Raw genomic sequence first — 24,162 nt, 5'->3', positions numbered from 1 at the left:
GCAAGCGTGGAGGCAGGCAAGCTGGAACCAACTAAGCTGCTATGATGGAAATCTGTGCAAGTGGTGGTGGGAACCTAGGAGAAGGATTTGGGGGTGGGGGTGGGGAGGGAGTGAAGAAGTCTAGAGCAACCACAGGAGGGCTAAGAAATGCTTTAAGGGAAGAACAACCAGATTTGGAGCAACGGGACCCAAGGTGAACTGTGAGGAGACAACCAGTGGGAGGTCAATGTTCTGAGTCCCAGATGGCCAAAATGGGGGATTTGGAAAGTAGGTTGGGAAGGAAGAGGGAGCGATCTCAATAGCACAAATGAATCACAGATTTCCTCCTTAGCAGGAAACATCCCTGAGGGCTGCCTCAGACTCTGACAACCATAAAAGAAAACCCACAGCCACCTCTTGAAAATACTTTCCAGGCTTCTGTCAATGTTAGTTTAAACATAGGGATGTACAGGAATCTCTGTCTTGGTTCTTTGGTGTCCTGGGAGTTGTGGGGAGGTGAGCAAGCAGTATCATGTGCTCCTGCAGTGAAATGCTTTTCTAGGTCACACCTGAAAGTACCCTCCCCAGGGTTGGAAGTGAGAAGATGACTAACTCTCTCTCATTAAGGCATTACTGAAACAGGCTTTCTCTGTATGGTGTTCTAAAGAAATAATTGGATTTGTGTAATCCAGTCGCAAAGCCCTGGGTACTCCACTCCCTTCCAGAGAACACACAGTGGGGAGGAACCAAGGTCCTGGGAGGTGGGGTCGCAAATTCTTGGCTAAACACCATGTGTAGAAAGGACCCATATATAAGAGGTGGTTTCAGGCTGCATGCTTCTGACTGCACCGGGATTAGAGCTTGCCCAGGCGCTTAAAGAAGCAAAATCTCCTGTGCAGGTAAATTTCTTTAGTTCCAAGGGTGGGTCCAAGTTAGCCCAGAGGCCCTATGAGACTCTACAGGGTCTGGGTTTAGAAGGTGAGAGGATGGTATTTGCTTCTCCTGGTTTGAGCTTTGCAGGTGAGTGTATACAGAAAAAACCCTGGAGTCTGGAGATTTCAATTTTGTCCTCAGTTTTGCCATCACTTATTAGTGTGACCTTGAGGAATAGACTTCAGCCCTTTGGCCCCAATCTCCTCATTTAAAAAAAAAGATGGGAGTATCTTTGGGCCTGGGTAATTTCTGAGGTCCCTCCAGCTCTGGTTTCTCTCGAAGTCATTTGGTAGAGTTACTGATGCTGCTAGGTGCTGTCATTTCCCAGAACATAGGCCATCCCAGTTGTCTCCTGAGCCTCCTGATGAGAAGGAATCTGGGGGCAGCCAGCTTATCACTGAGGCCTTATGGGATCCTCAGAGTCAAGGAGGCCGACTGTTCTCTGTTCTGATAAGCAGTGAGGCTGGGCTGACTTCCTGTATGAAATTAGATGTGAAAAACACACTGGGACGGTGACCACACTATAAGAGTGAAATATTGCCTCAAATGATAGCTGTCAGTGTGGTGCTTGGCACGGCCCTTGCCTAGATTAGAAATCTCGAAATTGCCCTTGTCTGAGTGGTCTGCTGGCCTATGGGCACTGGAAATCACTCCTCAAAGCTCTGGAGGACTCCAGAGCGAGGTAGTCGGCTCTCAGTTCAGCTTATAACCCTCTCCTATGGAGGCACAGGGTGACAATGTTTTGGTGGGTGGTACCTAAGTGTTTCAGCCTGGGTACATCTTCCAGGCCTGATAGGGTGAGGGGTGTCTTTGACTTTCTAGGGGGAGAATTCTTGGATGAGTTAGGTACTGGCCATTTCACAGAGTGGGCACCTCATGCTGAAGAGTGAGGGCCCTTTCTAGAGTGTGAGCCTGGTCGTTGGACTGTGACTTCCTCGAGGGCAGAAATTCTGTCTAATCCATCCTGTACCCCTACCATCTAGGGCAATGCCTGGCCCATGGGGAAGCATGCAATAAAGCCTTGTTTAAATGAATTGATTCTCCCACTTTTCAAACTCCCTTGTAAATCTCTCTCCTGACCATCAAAACAAGCAGTAGAAAAGGAATGGAATTGATGTAACTATCAGTGGTATAATTGGTTTGGTGATAGATCGCTCGACCTCAAGGGTAACCACTAAGCTAATTTCTAACATATAGATTGGTTTTGTCACTTTTGAAAGTTATGTAAATGGAATCAAAGAGTTTTTGTGTCTGGATTTTTTCTACTTAATATTGTTTGTGAATCTCATCATATTGCAGCATGTAATTCTTGTTTGTTCAGAGCTGTGAAGTATTTCATTGTATAAATGGTTATCACTATTATTAATATTTATCCATGTTCATGGACATTTGGGTAGTTTTCATTTGGGGATATTTTGCATATTTCTGTTGTGAGTATTCTTGTACATGTCTTTTGGTGCATAGATTTAAGCATTTCTGTTGGGTAATAACCAGGAATGGAATTGTATCATATAGTTTGTATGTGTTTAGCTATAGTATTTACTGTCAAATAGTTTCTTTTTTTTTTTTTTTTCTTTTTTAAGATGTTTCTAATTGACTTACTTTTTCCAAAAGTTTGCCTGGGTTTTTAACTGCATACTTTGATCTTCTGGAGTAGCGTTAATCAGAGCCTAAAATGACCGGCCAAGTCTTCCAGCCCAGGAGTGGGCTTGGGAGAGGAGGGGGCTGTTAACCAGCATTCTCTCCCCAGTTCATGAGTGTGAGTGAAGGGCAGGAAAGCCCCACAAGGAGAAGACAAGAGGTTTCCAGGGAAGGCTCTGGAGAGGAGGGACATTTGCCCTGAGCTTTGAAGGATGAGGGAGATTTGAGGTAGAGGGGGTCAGGAGGAAGCGACATCTCCTTTGTAAGTTTGGACAGAGCAGAGGGTGTGTGGTGGGGGTTTGTGTACACAGAAAGGAACTAACACACCAAGAGCCTGGCCATTTGGACTTGAGGCCATGAGCTGTGTGGTTTTGAGGGCGTGACGTGAAATGGCCAGTCCTATGGCAAATGCAGGATCAGAGGAGGAGATGAGCTACCTCAGTCTGACCGCTCATCTAGCTCAAATTCCATGACTCTCTGAAGATGCAAATGCCCCTGCAAAAAAAAAAAGGAATGAATTTACATCTGCTTTAAAAGTCTTTCCTGTCCAAATGTGTTGTCAAATGTTCAGAATCATTTGATATTTTGTTTTAAAAAATCAGAAGGATTGGCTCTTTAAAAGCGTGGGAATGGATAGAAAAAGAAGAGTAGGGGATGACTCTCAGACTAGGGTGCCGCTACCTCTTGGGGTTGAAAGTGTCAGAGCAGGGCAGCTGGAGGGGAACAGAGTGACTCCACTGAAGTCATAGTTTAGGAGGAGGCTGTACAAAGAGGGTGTGCCTGTGCCGGAGAGAAGAGATGATGCCCCAGGGCTCCCCCAACAGTCAGGCCAAGCAGGCCATGACTCCCTGGAACTGCTCAGAGGTCCTGTCAGTACATGGGGGCACTGAATTGGATGACCACTAAGTTCCTTCTAGCCTCATATTTGGTTCAGCTGCAATGAGCGACGCCAGGGTGCAACTTCCACAAAGGCCGAGCGGATGTTCCTTTGCTCAGGGAAAGCTGTGTCCAGGTCGTGGCAACTCAAGGTGTACACCCATGCTCCAGGGAGTCTTATTCTCTGCAAAGATTTGTGACTATGCAGTGTCTCATAAAGTCAAATGGAAGTGGGGCAGCTGGGGGTGAGTAGGGAGCTCCAACAGCCAAGTTCTTAGACCTCCATAGAGGCATGCAGTCAGCCCAGGGGACGCCTACCCCAGCATTGCCAGTTAAGGGACTTCCTGCCGCTTCTCCCCCACCTTCTCCCAAGGTGCATGTTCCCTTTGGAGACTTGTTTTTTCTTTTAGGTCTGACCTTGGTTTTACTTCCCCAGGTTGCTTTGACGTGGATCCCACATACCACCCAGGAAAGGAGCCCTAAGGCAAGCCTGGATGAGCATTTTGGAGGGGAAGGATGTTAAAGAGGCTCCCTCAACCTAAATCAGGCCCCAGCAATGTGATCAGACACCAGAGGAGCAGCCAAGTGATTGACAGTTCACAGGAAGTTTTTAACTTCCTTTATCTCAGTTCAGCTTCATAAGAGGGGAGGGGAGGGCACGCTTTATTGTTCTTTACATTTTCCAAGTGAAGAAACATCCATCCCTTCTGTCAGTGAGTCAATTGGCCAGCATTTATCAAGCATCTGTTTATTCATGGTATTATGTGACTATATCATGAATGATCACATCTGGGAATACAGATTTTAAAAAGCCTATACCATTCTCGCCTTCAAGAACTCATAGTTGGGCCACATTCATCATTGTTTACTGAAAGGCAAATGTCTGCTCTAATAAATGAAGAATCATGCTTGGGGTTTTCTGTTAGAAACTTGATCTAAATGCAGACAGATGTCTAAACAGTAAAAGAAAAACAATTTAAAGCCTTTCAAACCATTAACATTACAAAATCATTTCATCTTTTATGAACAGGTCATGATATGTACATAGAGATGCTGTTTTCCTGTTCGTAATCAGTAACCACAGAACCACCTGAAAACTGCCCAGGAATGTCTGATGTTATCACATCTAAATAAGGGATTAGATGTGAAACTTTAGCAGAGAGAAACTGCAGGCCACATTTGCAAGTGTTTTGAGACATGATTGTAACTGTAAATGTTAAGGGTCTATTAAAAAGTCAACGAATCAATTAGAGATAAAATTGTTTCATTAAGATAAATTCTTAATGATGGATTCAACCAACCACATTTTAATCTGTGAGTTCCTACTTGGAGCTTACCCCTGTGCCTAGCCCTGCAACAGCAATCTACCTGGTTAAACAGTGCTTTAGAGCAGTGCTCAGCAAACTTTGCCTATGAAGGACAGCATAGTAAATATTTTAGGCTTGTGGCCCCTAAGAACTCCGTGGCAATGACTCAACTCCGCTGTTGTAATGCGAAAGCAGCCACGGACAATACCAGACAGATAAGTGTGGCTGTAGTTTCAGTAAAACTTTATTTATCCAGGCTGTAGTTTGCCAACTCCTACTTTAGACTTTTGTCAAGTCTTTTCACACGATTATCTCTTTTGAGTTCTGAGAGTAGGCACAGTACATGTCATCCCATATTGAGGGTGAGGAAGCCAGCTCAGAGAGGATAAAGGAGTCAGCACACGGGCACATGGGGAAGAGGTGGCAAACTCACTTGCCTTCTGGGTTTTCCAATCCCAAACCCAGCACTCCATGGCCACTGCACACCACCTATTACACAAAAGAAGTACAATCCCTGCTCAAGATAAATCAGGCAAAGCCTATAGTTAGTCTTGTTCTTTTGTTCCGACTGTCGAGAGCAGGGAATTGATCATTTTTCAATCTGGTGCTTTTTATCATGTAGACAGAGTCTTGTACAAAGAGCCTAGGTTTCTACTACAATTTTGCCTGAGACAACTTAGTGGGTTGTGGCAAGATGCCAGAGTTCTCTGGAAATCCATCATCCCCCAGGAGGATTCTACAGGTTCATGTGAGTGAGTGCATGGTACTTATTTCTTTTGCTTCCGTTCCAGAGACCTGACTCTACCCTGTAGGTTGATCAAAGGCCAGGTGTTACATTCCCAGTCTGAGACATAGTGTCTAGCACATAGTAGGTGTTCAGTAAATGTGTGAATGAACTGAACATCAGGGCAGGGACTCAAGACACTGAATGGACCCCTGGGAATTAGTTCCTATTTTTGCACTCTGGTGAAATTCCTGGGAAATTCCTTTCTATTTCTTAGGATCTCAGTTTTTCCCACTTTAAAATGGAGCCCAGAATTCTCAACTGCTTCAGAGATGGTTGAAAAAGTAGCCACCACCAAAGAAAGCCAGGATTTGGGCAGATCTTATTTTTCCAAATCAAGGCAGTAGTTCATCATGATGATGCCAGTAGGACAGGAATCAGACAGATCCCCTGGTTTTTCTATATAAATTTAAAATTTTAGTTTGAATCAACTATATTGAGGCATGATTATATATAATAAACATGTACCACATTGTGTTTTTTTTGTTTTTTTTTTTTTTTGTTTTGAGACGGTCTTATTCTGTCACCCAGGCTGGAGTGCAGTGGTGGGATCTCAGCTCACTGCAACCTCCACCTCCCAGGTTCAAGCAATTCTCCTGCCTTGGTCTCCTGAGTAGCTGGGATTACGGGCGCCCACCACAGCGCCCAGCTAATTATTGTATTTTTAGTGGAGATGGGGTTTTGCCATGTTGGCCAAGCTGGTCTTGAACTCTTGACCTCAAGTGATCTTGGCCTCCCAAGGTACTGGGATTGCAGACGTGAGCCACTGTGCCTGGCCATGTTTTTAAGTGTGTTGTACATAGTTCATTGAGTTTTGATGAAAAAATATACAGATGCAACCACCACAGTCAATATAGAACATTTCCATTACCCCAAAAGTTATTTTGCACTCCTTCCTGAGCAATTCCCTCTCCTAGCCCCAGGTAACCACTGACTTGCTTTTTTTTAAATATTGTATTTTTATTAAACACATTTTTTTCCTCATGATAAAAGTAATACATACTAATCGAGGAGTCCAAAAATATAGAACAGTCTAATAAAGTAAAATAAATGTCTTAGTCACATTATCCAGAGATAGTTCATATTCTTATTTATATATATTTTCTTCCCATCGTGTGTGTGTGTGTGTGTGTGTGTGTGTGCACATGCACACGTGCTCATTTAATAATATTGGGGCCATGATCTATATACAACTTCATTGGTCATTGCATATTTATCTATGATGATTTTATCTAAAATCATTTTGCTCCAGAACCTGTAACTGACTCCTGTATTTGATTAATGGCACCAGGTTACTCAAACTAGTAACCTGAGTCGCTATGAAGAATAGATTTTTTTTCCTAATACATTTTCTAGTTAGTTCTTGCTGTTTTAAAAAGAATACCACCGAGTTTCTGTATAGTGTATTTAACTTGTATTCATTGACCTTCTTGAATTCTGTTATTTCCTATGGTTTTTAAAAAATATTTTCTTAGATATTCTACATGTAAAATAACCTCTTCTGTGAATAATAGTCATTTTTTTTGCTTTCTGATTTTTGTGACCCTTCCTTCCTCCCTCCCTCTCTTTCTCTCTTTTTCTTTCTTTCTCTCTTTCTTTTTCTTTCTTTCTTTCTTTTTTCTTTCTTTCTGTTTTATTGGCTTAACTAGGAATTACAATTAAAAGTGATTAAGAATGGTAGTAATCACCATTCTTATCTTCTGTTTAAGGAAATATCTTTTATCTTTCCTCAGAAAGTATGGTGTTCCTCTAGATTTTTTTAGTAAATATCTTTTCTTGGGTTAAATAAATTTCATTCTAGCCCAAATTTATCCTAGGAAAATAATTCGGATGTGCTCAAAGACATAGTTAAACTCTAGTAATACTGTCACTGTTTAGTGAAAAAGAAGAAATAACATGAAATTCCAGAAACAGTAGATTTTAAAAATAAATTTTGGTTGACCTATGATTTGGCATGCTTTGCAACAACTAAATACGTTCTTGTATATTCAACTTATTGGCAAAGGCAAGTGTTCATTAGATATTGTCAAGTAAAAAAAGTATAAAACACAATGTATAATATATTCACTTTCATTAGAAAAATAATTAAGCATAGAAAATTTTCTCTAAAAGTATACATTAAAATGTTAACTATGACTATCATTGAGTAGTGGAAATATGGGTAATTTATATTTCCTTTCTTTCCCTTGATTTTTCTGCAATAAATATATGTTATTTGGATTTTAAAATGAAAATAAGTCAACTCATAACTAAGTGAAAACTAATTCTCCTGACTTGAAAGTGATTAGAACAAATGTATAAAAACCTGCAGTCTGACTGAACTTTTATTTTATTTTATTTTATTTTATTTTATGTTTTATTTTTTTGAGATGGAGACACGCTCTGTCGCCCAGGCTGGAGTGCAGTGGCGCAATCTCGGCTCACTGCAAGCTCCGCCTCCCGGGTTCACACCATTCTCCTGCCTCAGCCTCCCGAGTAGCTGGGACTACAGGCACCTGCCACCACGCCCGGCTAATTTTTTTTTTTGCATTTTTAGTACAGACGGGGTTTCACCATGTTAGCCAGGATGGTCTTGATCTCTTGACCTCGTGATCCGCCCTCCTCAGCCTCCCAAAGTGCTGGGATTACAGGCGTGAGCCACCGCTCCTGGCCCTGACTGAACTTTCAATGGCAGAGATACAGTATTCATTTCTGTCCAGTTTGTGAGAGTCAATGTTTTCACTGACATCAACCTCTCTTTCCAAATGAGTTGTAAGACCACCCTTTGTAAAGCCTTCACAGATTCTCACCTGTGGCTATGGACTCTGTATTCCTGGACAACACGGAAACTTCCAGCTGGACAACCTCATAGGACCAGGCAATCTGCTGTCTTAAGGTTGACCAGTGCTGTGCTGGTAATATTCAACAACTAGCTCTCAATTTTTTTTTTCTTTTAAAAGGCCAAGTAGCTCTGATTTGTAGCATTTACCCATTCCATGGTATGGACACTCCCATGATGGCCAATTACAAGGTACTAACATGGCATGATGGAATACAGACTTGAGAAGAGATGTGCACAGCTGGCTCCTGTCATCCTGCTCACACTGGCTACTGAAATATCACTGAGACCCACCTGAAGGAGTAAATTTTGACACAAGGTGTATCTAGAGTCTGTTCCTTCTCCCACATTTAAAATGTTCCCATTTACCTTTTAGTAAACACTAACATATTAAATAGGCAGAGGGTTATCAGGAGAGACAAGGAAACCCTGCCTGTATACAGGGATTGGGGTTTGGAGTTTGCGCTGCTGGCTGGTGTATCCCCAGGTGTCTTGTCTGGTGATGCTCCTGATGTTCACAAGCTAGTTAGCGTTCAAAGGCCTCCTCCTCTGGATCAAGGCACTTAGGTTATCTGAGCACCAGGTTATTTGACACCTCTCACCATCATAACGCCCTTCCTAGCACCCAGCATCTATAGATAAGGGGAGAATAGCCAGTATGGAAGAAGTGAAGATCAAAGCCTGACTCTCTGTTTACTTCCTGAGTATAAATAAATTTTGGACAGGCACGGTGGTTCATGCCTGTAATGCCAGCACTTTGGGTGGCTGAGGTGGAAGGACTGCCTGACGCCAGGAGTTAGAGACTAGCCTGGGCAACACAGCAAGACCTCATCTCTCCAGAAAAAAAAAAAAAAAAAAGTTAGCTGCGCATGGTGGCATGAGCCTGTAGTCCTAACTACATGAGAGGTTGAGGCAGAAGGATCCCTTAAGCCCAGGAGTTCAAGGCTGTAGTAAGCTGTGATCGTGTCCTTGCACTCCAGCTTGGGTGACAGAGTGAGACCCTGTCTCTAATAAAAAATAATAGTAATGCTGACATGCAAAACACTGCAGAACAACCTGGCAGCTTATGGGGAGCCAAGGAAAGAACTCTGAGGCCCATGGAGGATGCTTTTAGGCTGCACATTCTTAAATAGCTCGAGCCCCATTAGCCTTCACCTATCTATTTGCATAGTCTTATTTTGTGGACCTGCTCCAACGCTGCTCACTTACAATAGTCAAAATGAATTTCCAAATGTGACCTAGACCCATCTGGCCCTTTGTAGAGAGCTGTGCCAATCTGGAAATGAGCCAATTTCATCCATGGTTTGTAATATATAGGAAACATGCAAGAACCGCCAACTGGTTTCATCTGGGCCTATATTCTCCCTAAGGTGACTTAGGAATACTTATTTACAAATAAGATTGTGTGTGTATGTGTGTGCACGCACACATGTGGCCTCATTCTAAACTTTGGAGGGTGAGAGGAACCTGTGATGGGTGTTTTGTCTTCTGAGCCCATGATGTACTGTGCTTGTCACAAGATGTAGTATTTGCAGGCTTGAAGAGGAATCCAGGTATGACCCAGCACTTGGTAAGGAGGGCATGAGCCTGAGGGAGGTTCTGAAGCCAAGGGACCCTCTATCATTTTTCACAGGACAAGCAATAAAGATTGTTGTAAAGGCTTGAAGGGGCAAAAAGGGAGACCTTGCCTTTGTGAGGCCTCAAGTTTGTTTATAAATGTGCAGGTGGTAGAAGAAACTTCCTGGGAAGAAAATGGGGTAAGCCTGGGGGAAGCTTTGCCTACTCATCCACATTAGGGAAAAAAACTCCAGTTTTTTTTTGGAGTTTTTTTTTGGAGTCAAAAAAATAAAAGACCTGAGTAACAGCTTTTGAGTTTCTGTGACCTGGGTTAGAAGAGGGCTGGGTCTTCCCCCAGGAAGTACACAGGCACCCGTGACAAATAAGAATAGCCAGGAATCGACTGCCCTCAGCTCTCAGAGGTAAGGGTGTGAGACAAACAACATTCCAGCAGTGCTAATCCTGCAGAGGATTCAAAAGCCATTAGGCAGAAGAGGCTTCTGTGCATACATCACTCAGAGCAGAACCACAGTGGGGCCACTCCACCAACTGGTCACTGGCAGTGCTTGATGAGCTACCTACAAAACTGAGAGCAAGTGTTTAGAAACTTTTATAGCAATTGATCAAATAATTTAAATTTAATTTAATTTTTGTTGAATCTAACTTCTTTTTTGAGACAGAGTCTTGCTCTGCTTCCCAGGCTGGAGTGCAGTGCCGCCATCTCTGTTCACTGCAAACTCTACCTCCCGGCTCAAGTGATCCTCCTGTCTCAGCCTCCCAAGTAGCTAAGATTACAGTCATACATCACCATGCCTAGCTAATTTTTGTATTTTTATGTAGACGAAGTTTTGCCATGTTGCCCCAGCTGGTATCGAACTTCTGGGCTCAAGTGATTTGCCCACCTTGGCTTCCCAAAGTGCTGGGATTACAGATGTGAGCCCTTGCACCTGACCTGAAAAAATCTTAAAGGGGGACTTGACTTTATGTATCTTTTAAAATGTTATGTTTGTATTTATTCATTTTCATTAAATTTCTATGACAAATCGGAAATAAAAGAACATAGGCCCTTCACTAGTGATAATTTGAGAAGCACCAAGACAGTAGGTGCCCAATGGGGCAGACAATGGGTCCATAGACAGAATGAGGGGATCTCAGCGAATGCCAGGCACTCAAGGAGGGCTTCCTGGGGAAAGGACTCAAGTTAGACTTTGGGGGATGGGCAGGACCTTGACAAATGGAGAGGACCCCAGGTCACTCCTACAGCCATGAGGGAGAAGTCACACTCAGTATAAGCACATTTGCGAGTTACTTTTAGGGCATGTACATTCTGTCCCAAACACTGTGCGGGGTGTAATAGGCAGTTTGTAGCACTGAGAGCTGAACATTGTTATGGGAGTCAGGGCTCTGGGTTCTGGATACAGCCCTTATAAAATCTCCCTGTATAGCACCAGGAAGATCATTTAACCCTTCTCGCTCTCCCACCCTCTAAACTGTAAGAGCCATGAGGGCAGGGACTGTCTTTGGTGAGCAGTGCCTACCTCAAGCCTGACAAATGATAAGTTCCCAGTAAAATTTTTGGTGAATGAATGGACAGGTTTCAGTTGTAACACCTGAAAAATGGGGAGGCTAATAAGATTAGTGGTTTTGCAACTGTAAAATGAAAAACTATATTGTGTAGCCAACCTGTCCTGCAAGAAGCTCCAGGAAATCAAGTTTTGTAGCTGGGTTATCAAAATGGATTCTGGTAACAAGGAAAAGGGGAGAATGGGCACGTACTGGCAACTGTTGGTATTTGGCACAATATGTGTGTGTGTGATTTTTTTGTCCCCCTTTTACATTAGCAAGAAAGTCTTCAAGGAAGGATTTCTTTGTAAAGAGAATGTAGGCTGGGCATGGTGGCTCACGCCTGTAATCTCTCAACACTTTGGGAGGCCAAGGCGGGTAGATCACTTGAGGTCAGGAGTTCGAGACCAGCCTGGCCAACATGGCGAAACCCCATCTCTGCTAAAAATACAAAAATTAGCTGGGTGTGGTGGCGGGCGTCTGTATCTGATGCACTGCCGGCTCGCCCACGCCAACCTGCAGCCCTGCCAGAGCCTGTGACCGCCCGTGGGGGCCTTCTGTGAGAGACCCACGCACCCTGTGCTGGAGCCTGGGGTTTTACCCTTGACCCGGAGCGCAGCTGGGGGCTCCTGGGATGGGAGAGACATCCTTGGGAGGCCTCCACGTGGGAGCTGCTGGCCCCCAGCACCCCCTGCGGCCTTGCTAATCCCAGCTACTCGGGAGACTGAGGCAGGAGAATTGCTTGAACCTGGAAGCCAGGGGTTGCATTGAGCCGAGATCGCGCCACTGCACTCCAGCCTGGGCAACAGAATGAGACTCTGTCTCAAAAAAAAAAAATAAATAAATAAAAAAAATAAAGATAATGTAGGAGGAGGTTTTGCAGGGAAGAATAAGGAGGACATTGAAGCAGGAGGAATGCTGTGTGTCTGTAGCTGGGAGGCAGGAGTTGGCAGGCCTGGTGGAGGCCTGAGCAGGCAGCCACTACTCCCCACTACCTTGGCAGGCACAGGACCCTCCGGCCCAGGGGACTGAGCTCCAGCTTCCTGCTTCTCTTCTCCTGCCTCCCCACTAAGCAGAAGGGACCCCCGTGACATTGGTGCAGTCAGGGGCCCAGGACTCAGCCCTGAGGCTTGAGAGAACTTTCCCTTCTGTAGGCTTTTGCCACAAGATCCCTGATCTCCCACCAGGTCCTCAAGCACTTGAGTGAGTGCTCAAGGACCCACACTCTCTGGGACAAAATCGAACCACCTGCTTCTGTCTCTTTCTCACCAGCTGACTTCTCCGCTCCCATTCTCTCCATCCTTCCCCTCGTCTCTGTGGCAATGGCAAAGCACAAGGAGGAAGTGAGGAAACTGACCGTCCTCTCTCCATTTCAGGAGCAGCAGAGACTCCTCAGGAAGACTCACTGGACTGTACCCACCACCTGCCATGTCTCTGTGGCCACCTTTCCGATGCAGATGGAAGCTGGCGCCAAGGTACTCTAGGAGGGCGTCTCCACAGCAACCCCAACAGGACTTTGAGGCCCTGCTGGCAGAGTGCCTGAGGAATGGCTGCCTCTTTGAAGACACCAGCTTCCCGGCCACCCTGAGCTCCATCGGCAGTGGCTCCCTGCTGCAGAAGCTGCCACCCCGCCTGCAGTGGAAGAGGCCCCCGGTGAGGCAAAATGTGTCAGCCCAGACCCTCCTTCCCCAGGGTTTAGGGCTTTCAGATACTGCGCCTAAGATATATGGGAGAAAAAAACAGGCTTTTTCCTACTCTCTCCTCTCCACTCAACACAACACACTCTTCTAACACCAGATGTGTAGGAGGTTTTCCCCACATGCCAAGCAATTCTCTGGTGGCCACCATCTGGGTATTCTGTAATGAAATTTAATTCCGACACTGTCTACCTAGAGACGGTGTCAGATCTCACAGGTTGAGTGTTCATCCCACAAAACTGCCCCTACTTCAGATGGCAATCACAAGTCCCAGGTTGTGACCTGTACTCACGACCAGCCATAAATCAGGACCGTGATTCCCATGATCCCCTCCTTGGGTTTGATTAATTTGCTAGAGAGGCTCACAGGACTCAGGGAAATGCTTCGCTTACATTTAATGATTTATTTTAAAGGGTATGACAAAGGATGCAGATGACAGCCAGGTGGAAGAGATGCACAGGGCAAGGCATGGGGAAGGGGTGTGGAGCTCTCATGCCCTCCCTGGTTGTGGCACCCTCCAGGGACCTCCGTGTGTTCAGATATTCAGAGCTCCTTACACCCTGTCCTTTTGGGTTTTTATAGAGGCTTTATTACCTAGGCATGATTGATTACATCATTGGCCTTTGGTGATCAATTTAACCTTCAGTTTCCCTCCCCTCCCCAGTGATCAGGGGGTGGGGCTGAAACTCCCAACCTTCTAATCCTGCCTTGGTCTTTCCAATGACCAGACCCTATCCTGAAGCTACCTAGGGACCACCAGTCACCAGTCAATCATTAGCATACGAAGGACACTCTTATCACTCTAGAGGTTCCCAAGGTTTTAGGAGCTGAATGTCAGAAAACTGAGCAAATGAAGACCAAATATATATTTCACAATATCACACCAGGTCTTACTGTCATTGATCTCCATGAGAAGGGATGGGTATGTTCCCACATTCTCACTTTCCAGATGGAAAAAACCAAGGGTGATTTTGAGAATGGTCTAAGATGTAGCCCTCCCTCAGTCCTGCCCAGAAATATGCAGAACAGCTATAGCCAAAAATATATCAAGGTACTGTTTAGCTTCATCTGAGATGGCAAGGCTTCCTGAGTCACAGCCAATACCATCTGCCAGAGAGATAAATTTTAACATCTCTCCAACCTCCTACCCCCAAAACAGGTTCATGAAACATTTAAATTAAGAAGCTATTAATCACTTTACAAAAGTATTCTTCACTCTATAAAATGCATCAATTCCTTTAAAAAGCAACTTCTTAATGTGTTCAAATGTAATCCATCTCCCTGAAACTTGATTTACCTACAAGATTTCAGGAACACAGCTAGTGAACAGGGTAAAGTGTAAGCCTGTGCCACAGACTTTCCTTTTCTCTTCCCTACTCACCCATCACCATCGATACCTGCAGCCCCAGACTTATGAAGTCCCTACTGTGTGTAAAATTCTGCAGTGAGCCTCCTAAACTACATGGCAGCCAAGATCCTACTTCTCTCAGAAAATCCTGGGAACTGCTGACATAGAGACTCTGTTCTACATCTGACTTGGGGAAACTGTGTCCGCGCAAAGACTGAGAATATAAATCTTGCCACGGAGCAGAGACAACCCCCCTACCACCCCATCACAGGCTGCATCGCATCAGGAAAAGCCAAAAAGAACATCATATTAGGGGTCAGGAATAAGAAGGAGGAATAGGGGAGAAAAAAGCGAAAGAGAAGATATCTAGGAAAACTGAAAATACCTCCTATAAAAGTGTTTCCATTTTTAATAGAAACTCTAAGAAAAGGCATTTTTGGTATAAGTGCTATTTCTCAATATCTACACAGAGTTCTCCAGGGCTCTGACTTACACGAGCTATAAGAAGGAATGAGAAATACAAAGGACAGAATTCTGTATCCCAGATCTTCTGGGATAGCACTGATTACACCTATATTCTGTATCTTTGTCCCCATAAGTACAGTTTTGGGGTATGGGAAAACGTGGTCACTGTAGCTCCAGGAGCTTTTTTGTTCTAGGTCAGAATGACAATTCTGTTTGTCTTTCCCAGGAGCTGCACAGCAATCCCCAGTTTTATTTTGCCAAGGCCAAAAGGCTGGATCTGTGCCAGGGGATAGTAGGTAAGTTTGCACAGCCCCGAGAGACAGACACTAGGCTGCCTGCTGACCAGGCCTGGCCAAGACAGAGTGGTTGATAAAGAAGAGAAGCCAGAGATCCCCACTGGAGAGAGGCCCAAAATGGCTATTCACTGGCAAAACGCTACCTGGACATGTTCTGTTCTTTGCCGTGAAGTTTATAAAAACTGGTCCTCTGGGGATGCGTGGGAATGCCATACCCTGCCTAAGTCCTCACATAGTCCTCATTACCAGTTTACAGGTCTAAATTTAAATTTGGAAAATGTGCTCACTCTATTTTAGTTCCCACAATGGGTCCTTCTTGAGACAGCAGTCATTAGCCTCGCCAGAATAGGATCAAAGCAGATCTATCCTCAACTCTACCTTTTTAAAATAGTAAATTGGTCATCAGGGAAGGCTCAGCCAAGTCCAGTGATACCCATTTCACAGACAGGGAAATGGAGTCCTGAAGGATTGAGGCTTTCCCAGAAGAACATAAATCAGTTTCAGAGGCAAGATTTGGAAAAAGTGAGTGGCGTTGAGGTCCCAATTCCTGAGGATAGGGCATTCAGGAATCTAAAATTCCTGGTCCAGATCTAAAATCTGGCCCAGGAACATGGCTCTGGTTTTGGGGTCAAGTTGGATTTCAGCCAATGCTCCCAGCCCCACCTCTGCTCACTCATCATCCGCCTTCCCAGTATATAATTCCCTTCTCCTAAACTGGGCTACAAGCCCAGAGAGGGTGGCCATTGGGACCGGGCATTTTCTGCAGTCATAAAGTCCCCAGTAGATTCATGCAGATGCTGTGTGCTGTCTGACTTAGGAGACTGCTGGTTCTTGGCTGCTTTGCAAGCTCTGGCCTTGCACCAGGACATCCTGAGCCGGGTTGTTCCCCTGAATCAGAGTTTCACTGAGAAGTATGCTGGCATCTTCCGGTTCTGGGTGAGTGTCTTCCCGGGTCCTCAGCCCAGAGGGAGTCATAGGAAAAAGGGTTCCTGGAGGACCATGTCTTCACCTTCTGGGCTGATCACCATCTGCAGCAGTCCTCATTCACCCGGGGCCACTCTCTCCCTCCAGTTCTGGCACTATGGGAACTGGGTTCCTGTGGTGATCGATGACCGTCTGCCTGTGAATGAGGCTGGCCAGCTGGTCTTTGTCTCCTCCACCTATAAGAACTTGTTCTGGGGAGCACTTCTGGAAAAGGCCTATGCCAAGTAAGAAACCGGCAGAAATATCCCCCTTCCCATCGCTTCTTTTTCTCTCTCTCAATGTTGAGGGAGGGGAGTGGAGTCAGGTAAAGTTTATGAAATGAGATCCTGAGGCATGTCTTAGCCAACATAGAAGTGACAACGTATTCAGTCTTTTATGTAGGGGTCACCTCATCTAAACCTGCATTCAAGAGTTTTGCCTTTCCCTAATGGATAGAATTAAGGGGGATAGGAGCTCTGAGTGTATATTCTGTCCTTTGCTCCTGGGATGGAAGGAAGGAGTAGCAAGATACACCCAAAGAAAACCTAAGCAAAGGCTTCACTTCTCATTTGGCCCATCTAATCTACAGTTTAAATGCCTCTTCCTTTTGTTTTGAATGAAACCCTCTCAACGTAGCTGATCACTGCTGTCCCCAGCAGCTAAGAGGTCTGGATGAAGGAGTAGCAGCAGGGGATCCACCTGCTTGGGTCCCTGTGGGGCGGCCTGATCATCAGGGGTCAGATTGTGGGCACAGCTTCAACGACACAACTGCAATATGAAAGTTTAAGAGTTTTTCATACCTACAGACCCTAGAGGGTACTTGGCATGTATGGAGTGCACACACACACGCATGCACATACACATGCACACACACACGCAAACACAGACACACACATGCACACACACACATGCACACACACATGCACATACATGCACGCACACACATACGCACATGCACACACACACGTCCACACATACACACATGCACACACACGCACATGCACACACACACATGCACACATGCATGTGGAGGTCAGGGGGCCCAGGCGGAAAGAGAGAAAATGGACCTGTGGTGGACACATGCCTTTTCTTGAGTCCAGGGTGTTGTCCCAACAGGTTTCCCGCAAGCAGCTTTAACTGATGGGTTCAAAGCAAGCAGGCACTAGTTGAGATCTCGCTGTGAGTGACAGGCAGTCACTAAGTTCTCAGGCAAACGTCTGAATGGTCCATTTAAAGGAAGTGGTGGGAAAGAGGGGTTCCCAGTCTTCTAGGCAGGAGAGATGCCTCTAAGTTTTATCTATGACCACCAGCTGGAGCCATTCAGGATGGGTATGGTATTGGAAACTATGTCAGGGTTGCCTGAGCTCTGCTTTTGGTATGAGAAAACTAGACTCCTATTTAAAAGTGGATGCCGAGGCCACATAAAATTATAAATACTCATGATACTTTTTTCCTCTCATGTTTATTTCTTCCCTGGCCAGGCTCTCTGGTTCCTATGAAGACTTGCAGTCAGGACAGGTGTCTGAAGCCCTTGTAGACTTCACTGGAGGGGTGACAATGACCATCAACCTGGCAGAAGCCCATGGCAACCTCTGGGACATCCTCATCGAAGCCACCTACAACAGAACCCTCATTGGCTGCCAGACCCACTCAGGGGTGAGACTGGGCTGCCACTGGCAGAATGTCCTCTTCTCCTGCACCCATGCCCTCCATCCACCACCACTACCCTCACCTGGGTGTGGGCTCAGGGCCTCCACCCAGCTCCTAGTGCTGAGGTCCTGGTGTTCAAACCAGAGCAGCAAGGCCAGGTGCGGTGGCTCACACCTGTAATCCCAGCACTTTGGGAGGCCCAGGTGGGCGGATCACCTGGGGTCAGGAGTTCGAGATCAGCCTGGCCAATATGGTGAAACCCCGTCTCTGCTGAAAAATGCAAAAATTAGCCGGGCATGGTGATGGTCACCTGTAATCCCAGCTATTTGGGAGGCTGAGGCAGGAGAATCACTAAAACCCGGGAGGCGGAGGTTGCAGTAACCCGAGATCTCACCCTTGCACTCCAGCCTGGGCAACAAGAGAGAGATTCCGTTTTAAAAAGCAAAAACAAAAAAACCAGAGCAGCAGTGTTGGGGCCTCAGGACAGGCAAGGCAGTAGGAAAAAGAAGATGATGTGCAGAGAAGGAAGCTAACAATTATTAAGTGCCAGCTACATGCAAGGCACTTTCCACTTCCTATTTGATAACACTTGAAACAATGGAACAGGAATAGGAAGCCCTCAGTTCAGCCCTGCCTTCACTAATGGCCAAATGTGTCACCTCACACATTGACTCAACTCTAAATAGAGTTTGTCCTCTGTAAAATTGAGGGTATGGCATGATCACTGCAGAATGGCTCACTTAATGAGAGGGTGGAATGAGACTATGGATACCAAAGAGCTTTGAAAACTGCAATGTACCATACCATGATTATCTCCCACACTTCTCTCCATAAACCCCTGCTCCAGCCAAACAGCCTTCCCACGACTCAAAGAATAAGCTGTACATAACAGAAGACTGATCAGGACCTCTCTTGTCTCTGCAGGAGAAGATTCTGGAGAATGGGCTGGTGGAAGGCCATGCCTATACTCTCACAGGAATCAGGAAGGTGGGTTGAGGTTGGCCCTTCGGTTTCCCTCTCAGCCTTGCCCTTCCCTCTCTGGACCCTAGCTTATCTTGGTGGATTTAGTTTCTGTACCATCTGGAGAGTGGGTAAAGTCTTTGGTGGGTCCCTGTGCCTCGGCATCTATTTCCTGCGGTGAAGTGGTGGGTCCAGGCTTTGCCACCACCAATGCATCATCCCAACCTCATCCCCTGGGGCAGCCCTCAGCCAACCATCCTCCCACCCTGCTGTACCTCACAACCCTTCCTTGAACTTTGCTTCACTCTGGGCTGCCAAGAACAACCATTTCATCTGGTTCTTCCCTCCCAAATTTCTACTCCTCTCTGACACACTTCTTTATGACAGTCTCCATTGCTATCCATCTTTTGAGCTCTACTAGGCATTGAGAGGAAGACACACCAGGCAGGACCTGCCTACAAAGGGCTTACAGTCAGGTATGGTCACAAACCATATCTGAAAATGAGGAGGAAGCAAAGTTGAAACTGAGAGAAGAGAGTGTAGATGAAAGACTTTAGGAATTCATGGATAAGAGAAAAGACCTCCATCGAGTTGGGCTGGGGAGAAGTCAGAAGAGTCTCTTACAGAGGAGGTGATGTTGGGTTGGTCCTTGTAATGGATAGATTTGCACGGGGCGAGAAGGGCATTCTGGTGGAGGGAGCAGTGTAAGCAAAGCATGGAGATAAGAAGTCAGCAGGTTTAAGTTAAAGAACCTCTGATATTCTCTAGAGGGCCCAACTCTTCCCAAGTACTCCAGTTTCCTTTAACTCTGTTTCAAATTTCTTGGACTCAATTCACACTTAACTTCTTCCTTCTAGATCTCCAACAACTATGTTGGTCTGTGTGCCCAGAGCTTTTAATTTATTTCCATATTTATTAACAAAATTTATATAGCACTTACTGTGTGCTAAATGCTGTTTAACTGCCTTACAAACGTGGACTCATTTCATCCTCACAGCACTACTCTGAGTAGGTTGTGAACCCCAAATATCTGAGACAGGTCTCAGTTAATTTAGAAAGTTTATTTTGCCAATGTTGAGGATGTGCGCCTGTAACACAGTCTCAGGAGGTCCTGACTACATGTGCCCAAGGTGGTCAGAACAGCTTGGTTTTATACTTTTTAGGGAGACATGAGACATCAATCAACATATGTAAGATGAACATTTGATTCCGTCTGGAAAGGCAGGACAACTCGGAGCAGGGAGGGGGCTTCCAGGTCACAGGTAGATAAGAGACAAATGGTTGCATTCTTTCAAGTTTCTGTTAGTCTTTCCAAAGGAGGCAACCAGATATGCATCTATCTCAGTGAGCAGAGGGGTGGCTTTGAATAGAATGAGAGGCAGGTTTGCCCTAAGCAGTTCCCAACTTGACTTTTCCCTTTAGATTAGTGATTTTGGGGTCCCAAGATTTATTTTCCTTTCACAAGGTCTACTGGTTTCCTAGGGTTGCCACAAAAAATTACCATAAAATGTTGGGGGCAGGGGAGCTTGAAAACAACAGAAATTAATTTTCTCAGTTCCGAAGGCCTGAAGTCTGAAATCAAGGTGTGAGCAGGGACATGCTCCCTCTGAAGGCTCTGGGGAAGAATCCAATCCCTTCTTGCCTCCTCCACCTTCCAGTGGCTCCAGGTGTTCCTTGGCTTGGTCTACATAACTCCATTCTCTGCCTCCATCTTCACGTGGCCTTCTCTGTGTCCTCTCCCTTTCTCTTCTGACACTTGTCTTTGGATTTAGGGCCCACCCTGATCCATAATTATCTCAAACCCAGGTCCTTACTTTAATTACATTTGCAAAGATCCTTTTTCCAAATAGGGTCATGTTCACAGGTTCTAAGTGTACATATCCTCTTTGGGGAGGGAAGATCACCATTCAACCCACTATCATAGGTATGACTATTGACCTTATTTCACAGATCGGGAAATGGAGACACAGAGAGGTTAGCTGATTTGCCCTAGGTCTCACAGCTTGTAAGTACAAGAAGCAGAGCCACTTTCTCCTCTACCAGCTCTCTCTGGGGCTGTGATTTTCCACTGCAAGTGCTCAGCTCCAGGCCCGAGTCTCACTCAGATCTCTGGAATGTTTGCACTCAGCCCAGTCACCTAAACTGCCTCTCATTTTATGCAGGTGACCTGCAAACATAGACCTGAATATCTCGTCAAGCTACGGAACCCCTGGGGAAAGGTGGAATGGAAAGGAGACTGGAGTGACAGGTGAACTTTGGGGACATCTTGGAGGGGTGAGAACAGGTAGGTTAGGCAAAGGAGGCTGCCATTTGCACACAGATTCAAATGTGTGCTTTCTTTGGTCTTAGGCTGGATCAGGAAGCCTTTAGACGGGGAAGCTCAATCCCTCACATTTAGAAGATGCTTTATGGTATAGAGACTGCTTTCTCTTTCATTATAATAATTAAAGCTGATGTTTGTTTGAGGGCTTGCCAGCATTGTGCTAAACCTTTTGAATTTTTATTATCTCATTTAATCCCCCAAACAACGCTATTACAAAGTAGATAGTTTTATCCCCATTTTACTAATAGAGAAACTTGGATTAATTGAATTGCCTAAGGTCATACAGCATGACTCAACCAAGGTCTTTGGTGCCTGGGTTCAGTGTCTTTCCCTGGCATGGTTCAGCACACCTGGGTTTGCTGAGTCAAAGGTAGACAGATTTGGATTGGACTCTACACTCTGATTACATATAGTAGCCTCTGGGCATTCTGATTAGGTGCCTACATTTAGGTTGTTTCTGCCTAATGGCAGCCCTAAAGAAATGCGGGTTTTGCAGGCTAGACACTGGCTGTAGGGCACAGGCAGAAAGGGAGGTCAAGTCCTAAAGTCCTTCATTCTGTCATTATGAAGATGTATAATACTTAATCCTTTACAGGTCTTCAGAGTCTACAAACGTGTCCATATACACATTATCACTTAATCATTTTTATATTGATAAAATGAAGGCTTAGAAACACAAGTTGAATATTCCTCCTGATAGAATGTGCTGCATTATATTTGTTACACATTAGTAAACAGTGTTGTTAGAGGAACTGAATCTATGTGGGAAGATGTCATCCAAAGAAATACATAAATTTTAACATGCTACAGAAGTCTAGCATCATATTGTTGCTGGTGGCGGTTTCTTTCATAGAGGAACAAGCACTAACATTAGAGATAGATGATGGGTACAATTACAGTGTTGTTACTTTCTAGCTGTGTGATCTTAGTTTAGGCAACCTTCTTAAGTTCTTGGATCCAGAGGTATAGTGAATATTAAAATGATGAGCTTTTATTTTGTAGTGTTTAATCTGCTGTTAATCCCATCCAGTATATTTTTCATTTTAAATATTATGTTTTCAATTCTAGAAATTTCACTTGAGATTATCTTCCATTTCTCCCCTTTTTATGTCCGTGTTTCTCTTTACATCCTTGAGAATATGCGGCACTTTTATAATAGCTGTTTTAATGTCCTTATCTGCTAATTCTATCATCTCTCTCATTTCTACGGTGGTTTCTATGGACTGTTTCTTTATTCCAGGTCACGGATCATATTTCCTGCTTCTTCATATGGCTAATAACTTTTTATTGCATGCTGGACATTGTAAATTTTAGTTTCAGAGTACTGAATTTTATTGTATTTCTTTAAAGAATATTGGACTTTTTTTAAAGTAGGTAGTTACATTACTTAGGGATTGTTTTGATACTTTGAAGTTTTTAAGCACTTTTAGGGAAGGTCAAGACAAACCTTTATTTCAGGGATAATTTGATTCCACTACTAAATTGTAGACCCTCTGGGATCTCTAGTAAAGATTCCATGTATTCAATAAAGTCTTTTGGCTGGGCATAGTGACTCACACCTGTAATCCCAGCACTTTGGGAGGTCGAGGAAGGCAGATCTTTTAAGGTCAGGAGTTCAAGACCAGCCCGGCCAACATGGTAAAACCACGTCTCTACTAATACTGCAAAAATTAGCCAGGTGTGGTGGCATGTGCCTGTAATCCCAGCTGTTTGGGAGGCTGAGGCAGGAGAATTGCTTGAACCCGGGAGGCGGAGGTTGCAGTGAGCTGAGATCGCACCACTGCACTCCAGCGTACGTGGCAGAGTGAGAGTCTGTCTCAAAAATAAGTGAATAAATAAATAAAGTCTTTTAACTCTGTCCGGTAGGAATGCCTGAGATTCCCAGCACTGTGTCCTGCTTACGGTCCAGTCTTAGGGAGTTTCGCTTTCAGAAAGCACAGATTAAAGCTCAGCCAAAGACGCAAGGGAACCCCTGTGAAGTTTCCTGGAACTCCTTTTTTTCATGTAGCCCCCTCCTTTCGGATACTTTGCCCAGCAAATTCTGGCTGTCTGGATCTCCCCAAACTCCAGATTCTGTCTCCTCCACTCAGCCAGACTGTTATGTTCTTTTTTTGAGTCCCTCTCCCTGTAGCGCTGGCCAGGAAATTACCTTCAGGAAGAAAGCCTAGGTGATGTTAGGGCTCACCTCGTTTGTTTCCAGCCTCCTGGGATCACAGACCCCTGTTGCCTGCTGTCCAATATCTGAAAACAGTTTCTCATATTTTGTCCCATTTTTATTTCTTGATGGTAGGAGGCTATCAGGACAGTCTTACTCCTTCATGGCCAGAAGTAGAAGTTCAAATGATGAGCTTTGAAAAATGCAAGTTCAAATGTTAGCTCTGACGTTTAATAGATATTTGACTTCAAGCAAATGACCTAATCTCTCTTAACTTCAGTTTCCTAATCTCTAACATGAAAACAACAAAGTTGTGGTTAGCCTTGAATGAAATAATGTATGTCAAGAATCTAGCCCAGTGCTTGGCTCATAGTAAGCTATCAATTCATGTTCATGCTACTGTATAATATGGAATGGGAAATTTAGTTGTCTGAGGTAGTATGAAAATAATAATAAATAATGACACTATAGAGCCTTTACTAAAGAATTTCTAGCATGCTCCCCACAAGCTTTTCATTCCCTTTTCTATTTTCAGTTCAAGTAAATGGGAGCTGCTGAGCCCCAAGGAGAAGATTCTGCTTCTGAGGAAAGACAATGACGGAGAATTCTGGTATTGGACTTAGGGACTTGGACAAATGTCCTGGCCTACATTTGAAAACCCATCCAGCAGACATTTATTGGATGCCTTATGGGTGCCAGGAACTTCATGTACAGAGATCAATAAGGCACCATCCCTTTAGGAGCTCACGGTCTAGCAGGACAAACAGTGCCTGTAAATAAACGGTCACTGTCTTTGTGATGAGAGTAGAGGCCACTAGGGTGGAGCTCAGCGAGGGCTCAGCCAGGC

General features: G+C 44.8%; 1 protein-coding gene across 5 annotated transcripts in view, besides 2 other annotated features; it reads left to right on the top strand.

Moving 5' to 3' along the window:
• Positions 1-24,162, top strand: part of CAPN14 (calpain 14) — a 60,902-nt gene that overhangs the window by 15,624 nt on the left and 21,116 nt on the right. For 3 of the 5 annotated variants that reach the window (XM_011532864.4, XM_011532865.2, XM_047444407.1), the window contains 8 exons: positions 12,835-13,111; positions 15,195-15,264; positions 16,082-16,200; positions 16,336-16,472; positions 17,709-17,883; positions 18,802-18,864; positions 21,000-21,085; positions 23,851-23,925. In XM_011532864.4, the coding sequence (XP_011531166.1) occupies positions 12,887-13,111; positions 15,195-15,264; positions 16,082-16,200; positions 16,336-16,472; positions 17,709-17,883; positions 18,802-18,864; positions 21,000-21,085; positions 23,851-23,925 (950 nt within the window). In that variant the 5' untranslated portion in view covers positions 12,835-12,886. Of the gene's footprint in view, positions 1-818; positions 879-12,834; positions 13,112-15,194; positions 15,265-16,081; positions 16,201-16,335; positions 16,473-17,708; positions 17,884-18,801; positions 18,865-20,999; positions 21,086-23,850; positions 23,926-24,162 lie in introns of those variants that run through there. The other 2 variants (NM_001145122.2, NM_001321270.2) reach the window with 2 other exon arrangements.
• Positions 3,195-3,695: an enhancer, noted in NCBI's record as "H3K27ac hESC enhancer chr2:31437505-31438005 (GRCh37/hg19 assembly coordinates)". NCBI's record gives its function as "activates a minimal SCP1, AML or CMV promoter by ChIP-STARR-seq in primed H9 embryonic stem cells {active_cell/tissue: H9 hESC(primed)}" and the evidence as "EXISTENCE:reporter gene assay evidence [ECO:0000049][PMID:30033119]".
• Positions 3,696-4,196: an enhancer, noted in NCBI's record as "H3K27ac hESC enhancer chr2:31437004-31437504 (GRCh37/hg19 assembly coordinates)". NCBI's record gives its function as "activates a minimal SCP1, AML or CMV promoter by ChIP-STARR-seq in primed H9 embryonic stem cells {active_cell/tissue: H9 hESC(primed)}" and the evidence as "EXISTENCE:reporter gene assay evidence [ECO:0000049][PMID:30033119]".

The sequence above is a fragment of the Homo sapiens genome, chromosome 2, assembly GCF_000001405.40.
Source record: "Homo sapiens chromosome 2, GRCh38.p14 Primary Assembly".
Classification (NCBI taxonomy): domain Eukaryota; kingdom Metazoa; phylum Chordata; class Mammalia; order Primates; family Hominidae; genus Homo; species Homo sapiens.
The sequence above is the reverse complement of the archived record's forward strand: the minus strand, read 5'-3'. Positions and strand labels throughout refer to the sequence as shown.